This window comes from Homo sapiens, chromosome 5 (genome assembly GCF_000001405.40).
Source record: "Homo sapiens chromosome 5, GRCh38.p14 Primary Assembly".
Lineage (NCBI taxonomy): Eukaryota > Metazoa > Chordata > Mammalia > Primates > Hominidae > Homo > Homo sapiens.
In genome coordinates this window covers 176,871,328-176,879,496 of record NC_000005.10, presented here as the reverse complement: position 1 = coordinate 176,879,496, position 8,169 = coordinate 176,871,328, and the positions used below count along the sequence as shown (strand labels likewise).

The 8,169-nt window shown below is 61.5% G+C and overlaps 1 protein-coding gene across 5 annotated transcripts in view, besides 2 other annotated features; it reads right to left on the bottom strand.

Annotated features, from left to right (window-relative positions):
- Positions 1-8,169, bottom strand: part of UNC5A (unc-5 netrin receptor A) — a 70,340-nt gene that overhangs the window by 1,402 nt on the left and 60,769 nt on the right. For 2 of the 5 annotated variants that reach the window (XM_006714928.2, NM_133369.3), the window contains 8 exons: positions 5,341-5,529; positions 4,931-5,233; positions 2,218-2,305; positions 1,794-1,962; positions 1,370-1,603; positions 1,104-1,253; positions 858-1,022; positions 9-187 (listed from right to left, as the gene is read on the bottom strand). In XM_006714928.2, coding sequence (XP_006714991.1) covers positions 9-187; positions 858-1,022; positions 1,104-1,253; positions 1,370-1,603; positions 1,794-1,962; positions 2,218-2,305; positions 4,931-5,233; positions 5,341-5,529 — 1,477 coding nt within the window. The other 3 variants (XM_011534686.2, XM_006714927.2, XM_011534687.3) reach the window with 2 other exon arrangements.
- Positions 3,102-4,025: an enhancer, noted in NCBI's record as "H3K4me1 hESC enhancer chr5:176302473-176303396 (GRCh37/hg19 assembly coordinates)". NCBI's record gives its function as "activates a minimal SCP1, AML or CMV promoter by ChIP-STARR-seq in primed H9 embryonic stem cells {active_cell/tissue: H9 hESC(primed)}" and the evidence as "EXISTENCE:reporter gene assay evidence [ECO:0000049][PMID:30033119]".
- Positions 6,762-6,943: a silencer, noted in NCBI's record as "fragment chr5:176299555-176299736 (GRCh37/hg19 assembly coordinates)". NCBI's record gives its function as "represses an EF-1alpha promoter that drives an FKBP-Casp9 reporter gene in an ReSE screen in HepG2 liver carcinoma cells {active_cell/tissue: HepG2}" and the evidence as "EXISTENCE:reporter gene assay evidence [ECO:0000049][PMID:32094911]".

The window sequence follows — 8,169 nt, the reverse complement described above, 5'->3', positions numbered from 1 at the left end:
CCGCCCACCTGTCCAGGTGGAGTTTCTGGGCCAGAGTCCGCCAGTCGGCACCCCGCCTACAGGGTGGGTCCAGGCTGGAAATTATCTTCTGCCGAATGAGGAAGGGGATCTTGAAGGCACTGGGGCCCACCAGGGCTGGGACCCCCGCTTCACTCTCCAGAGCCAGCAGCTCAGCAAACCTTGTGTCCTGGAGGTGGGAGGGAAAGAGGTGCCTGTTAGAACTTTCCCCAGGCCCGGGTCCACCGCCACCTCCTGCTGGGGGAGCTCCCAGACTCCCCCAGAGCATGGGGGCGGCATGAGCACTGGTACTTCCTGGGCACCTCCCATGTGCCAAGGCCCTTCTTACTGGGGCTCGGAGGTGCAGCGACCTGCCCAAAGCCACATAGCCAGAGAGCAGAGGAGCCCTCTGTGGCCTCCCTCCCTCTCCGCCCTTCTCCCCTCCAAGTCACTCTGCCCAGCCTCTGCTGACACTCAACACACACAGCTCTCTTCACGGCCTGAGTCCCCCCTGCCCAGCTCTCACCGCCAGAAATGCTCTTCCCCTTAATGCCGCAGCCAAACTGGCTCATTCTTTGGGGCCCAGTACAAAGCCCCTCCTCAGGGAAGCCCTCCAGGGTCTCCCCTCCTGCTGCTCCCATGTCCCCTGCACTCCCCTCCCCAAGTCCCATTTGCACCTGTGCCTCCCTGTCTCTGAGTCTGGGAGGAAGCTGCCAAGGGGTTTCTAGGAGGAGGTGGGCCTGGGGACAGGCGGGAGGGAGAGTGGGTGGCAGGGCAGGCAGGGCAGGAGCGTTTTGGGGGCTGGTGGGGAGTTGGTAGTGGGAGCACGTCACGGCGGTGCGGCAGCCCCTCCCGTCCACCTTGGTGATGTTGAAGTTGATGCTGAAGCTCTGCCCGTCGCCCTCCACCTGCCACACCCACAGCTTGCAGGCCAGGTCACTAGTGCTGGGGCTGACACGCTCCAGGGTGAAGGTGCAGTGCAAGTACCGCTGCGTGCCATTCCAGATGTGATAAAAGGGGATCTCCTGATGGGGATGCAGAGAGGAGGTGTCAGGTGAGCCCAAGCTCCAGGCCTCTTGTGCGCTGGCCACGGCCCTGGCCCTCACCTGGTAGCTGACAAGGAGCTTACTCTTCCACAGGGAGCTGGGCACATCGTGGATGGATAGGCGCAGGTTGTGGTAACTGTCCTTGAAGTGCAGGACCCGTGGCTCCTGGATCAGCTGTCCCCCCAGCTGCTTCTCCAGCTGCACCACCTCCTGCAGTGCCCCAGGTGGTCAGCCCAGGCCCCTCCCCACTGCGCCCAAGGCAGGCAGTCCACAGGGCCAGGCATAGCTCGGCCTCCCAGCGGCGGGGGGTGAGGGGCGGGAGATACCTTGAGTGCATCGTGGGTGTCATGCAGGCAGTAGACCCGGATGTTGTACTCGAGGGAGGTGCAGGCCACCGGCGCAAACAGAAGCAGCTTGAGGCGCTTGGCGGCAGCCACGCTGAGGGCCTCTCCCACCAGGGCAAAGCGGCCCAGCTGCTCGGTGAAGACGTAGCAGGCACTGGCCTCCAGCTGGCAGTAGTAGAGGTGGGAGGGCGCCTCCTCGCCCAGGTGCAGCACATCCTGTGGGCAGGGGTCAGTGGGTCAATTCGGCCCAGCCTCAGAGCCCTAGGGCCAGCTGTGGCTTCAAGAAGTGGCCGGAGACTGGGGAGGGGTGGGGGTGCGGCTCAGGACCACCCAGCGGTGGAAGGCCGGGTGGAGCGTGCAGTTAGCCCACGTTCCCTTCTGGAGCCCGGGTCAGTTCCCTGCTCACCTCCCAGCTGCCCTCGCACGACTGCTTTTTGAGGCGCAGGCTCCAGCTGTCAGGGCTGGGCTCCCCACAGTGGTCCATAGCCAGGATGACTGGCCGGGTGAGCAGGACGCCAGGGGGTCCACAGCTAACGATGGGACTCAGCAGGGTCTGACAGCCAGCTAGGGGCAACCTCAAGTGGGGAAATATGGGTGGGGAGGGAAAGGTGTCAGTGGCCCATCCTGGGTCCTGAGGGCTAGGCCAAGGGCAGGGCAGCAGCATCCCAGGGGCCAGGGGCTTGGGCTGCAGGACCACGTGGGGCTTAGGCATAGCTCTTTCCCCCGCCGCCTCGGGCCAGGCACAACAGTGGGTGGGCAGGGGGCTTCCTGGGGACCGAAGGCAGCAGGCAGGTCCCTCCCACCCCCGGCAACAGGGCCCGCGGCCACACCTCACGTCTTCCGGCTTGTGCAGCGTGAGGTAGATCTCATAGATCTTCCCTCGGGGTATGGCATCTGGGGGGATGAGGAGGCTGATTCCTGGAACGGCAGGAAGAGGGCCAGGGCTTACCCACTGCCAAAGCACCCAACACCCCACCACACAGCCCCTCCAGGAGCCTTCCTGTGAGGACTGACTGGTGCCAGCCCGGCCTGGGGACAGAGGGGCCTCAAAGACTGCCGTGCTGACCAACCACCCCCACAGGCATGAAGCTGAGTCAGGGGCACCCCATGAGCAACTGAGGGAACCCAGGTGGGGAAAGCATGCCTGGCTAGCTCAGGCACAGAAAACTTGGGGACAGAAGGTATGCGGTACCGACCTCCCTTGTCCCCTGAAAGGCACTGGAGGGGACCAGGGTATCCCTTGCTTAAAACCTTCCCTGCCCCCGGATGAAGTCCAGCTCCCTGGCCTGGCATTGAAGGGCCTTTGCCTCTGGCCCCCACTGCCTCTCTAGCCCAGCCAGTGCTACAAAGTTGGTGGTTCTGGAACCACTGCCTGAGCCCCCACTGCCCTCCCGTCCTGCTCCAGCTCCCCTCTCCCTTGCTCCTTCTACTCTCTGCCATGCCATGGTCCCTGCAGGTGGGGTGGGTCTTGAATAACCTATCTCCTGGGCTGGATGCCCTCCCGTCGGCTGGCTTGCCTCTGCTCCAACGTCTTGGAGGAGCAGGATCAGCGTGTGAGTGGAGAGGGGAGTGGTTCAACAGGGAGATGGTGGGACAGGATCCGGCAAAGACGGGGGCCAGGGAGTCCCTCTAGAGGTGGTGAGCAGGGACTCCCCCAGACAGGGAGCCCTTACATGAGGAGGGGCTCCCAGCTCAGGACATGGGGAGGGAGAGGAATTCCATGACTTTACCCCACCAAGTCCAAAAGCAAATGCACACTCCCTCGTGGGCAGCGCAGAGCAGGGCTGGGCTGGTATCACCGTTTCACCGGAGAGGGCAGAGTCACAGCCACTGCTCCCTTCACTGGCCTGCACTGCCCCGCGGTCCCAGCTGTAGTGTTGGTGACAATGCCAGACATCCTCGCAGGAAGGCTCTCCATGGGGAAGGTACACGCACTTACATCCTCATTCATCAACTCCTAATGCTGGGTACTCAGGACGGCGAAGGAAAACCACAGACCCCACTCTCATGAAGTTCTTAGCCCAGCAGGGGAGAAGGACAAGTCAACCACAGCACAGGATGCGGGGGAAGTGGCAGCCACCCCCCGGCCTGGGGAGCGAAGAGCAAGGGCTGCCGGGCCCCACTGTTCGCCTGCGTCTCTGTAAGAGCTGACAGATGCCGTCTCACCTCGTCATCCCAACAGCCCCATGAGGGGTTCGTTATCATCCGTGTGGACGTGAGGCACAGACGGCAAGAGCTGTCAGGCGGGGACCCAAAAGAGAAGTCCCAGCTGAGCTGGTGGGAGGGGCAGGGGGTCGGTGCATGCAGAGGGCAGCACCGTGTGTCGGGGATGTTGAGTCCATGGTGGCTGCCGTGTGCGGGACGATGTGTGTGAGGGAAGAGGCTGAAGCAGCTGGCCTGCAGGGGACAGGTCTTCTCTGTGGTATCATGTGGGCTTTGCAGGGGGCAGAGGGGAGCCCAGAAGGGATTCGAGCACGAGAGGGTCATGATCAACTCTGGCTTCATTTGGTGAAGTTTTACAGCAAGGAACCAGGTAAGGGGTTTGGTGGCCCGTGTCAGGAGAGGCAGCAAGGGAGGACAAGAGCAGGAGGTGGCAGGAGCTATTGAGGAGGGACTGGCGTGGGACTGAAGCTGGCGGGGGGCAAGAGAGGACGAGCAGCAGGTCAAGGTGACCCCAAGTTTCCGGCTTGAGCAACTAGACGATCCGTGAACTGGGGGAAGCCAGGAATGGGGAGGCTCTGGGGGAGGGTGGGAGACGGTTCTGTTTTAGGCACCAGGAGTCTGAGGTGATGTGAGACATCCAGATGGAGCTGGCCAGGAGGCAGCTGGGTGTACAGTTCTGTCGCCCGGGAGAACTGCAGGCTAAGGATGGGGGAGTGGGAGTTATCTGCACAGACACGGCGATTAAAGCCATGGAGTGGGCGAGGCCGCTCGGGGAGAAGGGCACTGGGAGGGAGCTCGGAGGCACACCTACATTTATGGAACAGGCAGCTGGAGAGGGGCAAGCAAACCAGGAGCGCATGGGGTCATCTAAGCTGAGGGACTTGGGAATTTCGGGTGGGAGTGGCCAGCCATGCCAGAGGCTGCAGCCACTTCTTGCAAGGCAGCCATGGAAAGAGTTCTTCAGAGGGTTTCGGTGCTGGGGTGGGTGGAAGCCAGGATGCAGTGGGGACTCCAGGATGGCCTCTGCCCAGGCCCGTGCTCATCTGTTTGCCCTTGGTTGTCTCCCTGCTCAGTTGCAAGCTCCTTGGGGCCGGGGCTTGCCCTACCTCTGGGCCCAGGGCCCCACATGGAGACTGGAACAAGTAGGCTGCTTGGCTGTGTAAATGAATGGACAATTACCTTGTGCCCACAGGCAACAAGAGGAAGACAGCTCTGGCCACGGCCTCGGTGCCAGCCAAGACTGGGTTCTCCCCAAAACTCCACCCCCTTTCCTTGCTGATCTGTCACGGGACACCGAGGGGCACGAGAGGAACGTCCGGCTGTCCCGTCCTCCTCCAGGAGGGAAGTGGAGCTCTCAGAGCCCCCTGGGGTCCTTCCTACCTGTATTAGGGATCATCAGCCGGCCCCCGAGGAAGTTGAAGGTCCCATAGGTCATGTTGCTGGTGCCTCGGGGCAGGGAGCGGAAGTAGTTCTGGGTGGAGAGGCGGGAGACGAACTCCTCGGCCTCAGAGGTGGGAGAGCTGTGGTGCAGTGTGTGGCGGCCGCCACCCAGGGGGCTGAGCAGGTGCCCATTGGTGAGCTGGAACTTGGGGCTGGGCCCATCCTGCCGGGGACAGAGACTGCCCTGGTAGGTGGTGGTGGTGGTGCTGAGGTCCGGCTGGATGGTGAGCAGATGGGGGTTGTCTGCAGGATAAAGACAGACTCAGGCAATGGCACCTAGGGCATCCCTGCCCCAGCAGCCCTTGGCGTGGGAGCTGGGGCAGGAGTGCTGGGGGCACGGGGCCCCTCACCTGCTTTGCTGGGCTTGATGCTGACGGGCTGGAAGCCTGAGGTGAGAATGGACGAGTCAGCCACATCTGAGTCCAGCCCCTCCTTCTTCCGGCAATAAACGAGGATGAGGACAAGCAGCAGCAGGACCAGGCAGACGGCCACGGCGATGAGGCCCACATAGAGGGCCACGTCCTCAGGGCCAGAAGCAGCTGCGGGAGACAGCATGGCCTTGGTGGGGGCAGGGGTGTAGGAGTCTGGGAAGGAGAGGTCAGTGGTCTGCACCCCAGGAGGATGAGGTCTGCACCCCGGGGCATCTGCACTAGCTAGGGAGCAGACGCTTGTGGCAGGGAGCATGGAGTCCGTGCGTGTGCATCCCAGCCCTGTATTTGCCATTACTGTGCTGTGTGACTCTGAGCAAATCACATTCCTCGTGGGCTTGAGATCCCAGCTGAGTCTGCTGCCTGGAGGATGCAGGAGGGGAAGAGCTACTTCCCCAGAGCGGATAACCTGGTGCCTGGCTGCTAGGTTGAACCTGCTGCCTGCTCTTCTGGGACAAGGGCAGCTTGGGCTGGGGGTGAACTCCTGGGATCCCCAGAGCACAGGGTCTGCCTCCTGTGTGGTTCCAGGTCAGTGCCTAGACCAGGAGCAGGGGTTTGGGGGCCCTTCTCTCTGTCTGCCTCCCCAAGGCCTGGGGCAGGTCTGGGGAGGGGGTGATTGACTGCTTGGAGGAAGCTATATTGATTTTAGAAGGGTTTTGCATAAATGGAAGAAATGTCCATCAGAAAGGAATTGACACAGATAATTAGGTTTTTAATTGAAAGAATGGGGGAGGGTATGTTCTAGAGGAAAAAAAAAAATCCAACAGAGATCTTTAATTGTTAGTTATGGCCTTGTAATTAACAGCCCTCACAAGCCCGGCATTCCCACAGGACCTGTATGTGCACTTGGGGGACCAGGCAGATGGGAAGCTGTGGTGTTGGGCGAGTGTGGGCAGATGGGAAGCTGTGGTGTTGGTGAGTGTGGGCAGATGGGAAGCTGTGGTGTTGGGTGAGTGTGGGCAGATGGGAAGCTGTGGTGTGGGGTGAGTGTGGGCAGATGTGAAGCTGTGGTGTTGGTGAGTGTGGGCAGATGGGAAGCTGTGGTGTTGGGTGAGTGTGGGCAGATGGGAAACTGTGGTGTTGGGGCAGGTGTGGGCAGATGGGAAGCTGTGGTGTTGGGTGAGTGTGGGCAGATGGGAAGCTGTGGTGTTGGGTGAGTGTGGGCAGATGGGAAGCTGTGGTGTTGGGGCAGGTGTGGGCAGATGGGAAGCTGTGGTGTTGGTGAGTGTGGGCAGATGGGAAGCTGTGGTGTTGGGGCGAGTGTGGGCAGATGGGAAGCTGTGGTGTTGGGGCAGGTGTGGGCAGATGGGAAGCTGTGGTGTTGGTGAGTGTGGGCAGATGTGAAGCTGTGGTGTGGGGTGAGTGTGGGCAGATGGGAAGCTGTGGTGTGGGGTGAGTGTGGGCAGATGTGAAGCTGTGGTGTTGGTGAGTGTGGGCAGATGGGAAGCTGTGGTGTTGGTGAGCGTGGACAGATGGGAAGCTGTGGTGTTGGGGCGAGTGTGGGCAGATGGGAAGCTGTGGTGTTGGGCGAGTGTGGGCAGATGGGAAGCTGTGGTGTTGGGGCGAGTGTGGGCAGATGGGAAGCTGTGGTGTTGGGCGAGTGTGGGCAGATGGGAAGCTGTGGTGTTGGGCGAGTGTGGGCAGATGGGAAGCTGTGGTGTTGGGGCGAGTGTGGGCAGATGGGAAGCTGTGGTGTTGGTGAGTGTGGGCAGATGTGAAGCTGTGGTGTTGGTGAGCGTGGACAGATGGGAAGCTGTGGTGTTGGTGAGTGTGGGCAGATGTGAAGCTGTGGTGTTGGGCGAGTGTGGGCAGATGGGAAGCTGTGGTGTTGGGGCAGGTGTGGGCAGATGTGAAGCTGTGGTGTTGGTGAGTGTGGGCAGATGGGAAGCTGTGGTGTGGGGCGAGTGTGGGCAGATGGGAAGCTGTGGTGTGGGGCGAGTGTGGGCAGATGTGAGGCTGTGGTGTGGGGTGAGTGTGGGCAGATGGGAAGCTGTGGTGTGGGGTGAGTGTGGGCAGATGTGAAGCTGTGGTGTTGGTGAGTGTGGGCAGATGGGAAGCTGTGGTGTTGGTGAGTGTGGACAGATGGGAAGCTGTGGTGCTGGGGCGAGTGTGGGCAGATGGGAAGCTGTGGTGTTGGGGCGAGTGTGGGCAGATGGGAAGCTGTGGTGTTGGGGCGAGTGTGGGCAGATGGGAAGCTGTGGTGTTGGGCGAGTGTGGGCAGATGGGAAGCTGTGGTGTTGGGGCGAGTGTGGGCAGATGGGAAGCTGTGGTGTTGGTGAGTGTGGGCAGATGTGAAGCTGTGGTGTTGGGCGAGTGTGGGCAGATGGGAAGCTGTGGTGTTGGGGCAGGTGTGGGCAGATGTGAAGCTGTGGTGTTGGTGAGTGTGGGCAGATGGGAAGCTGTGGTGTGGGGCGAGTGTGGGCAGATGGGAAGCTGTGGTGTGGGGCGAGTGTGGGCAGATGGGAAGCTGTGGTGTTGGGGCAGGTGTGGGCAGATGGGAAGCTGTGGTGTTGGTGAGTGTGGGCAGATGTGAAGCTGTGGTGTTGGTGAGCGTGGGCAGATGGGAAGCTGTGGTGTTGGGGCGAGTGTGGGCAGATGGGAAGCTGTGGTGTTGGTGAGCGTGGGCAGATGGGAAGCTGTGGTGTGGGGCGAGTGTGGGCAGATGGGAAGCTGTGGTGTGGGGCGAGTGTGGGCAGATGGGAAGCTGTGGTGTGGGGCGAGTGTGGGCAGATGGGAAGCTGTGGTGTGGGG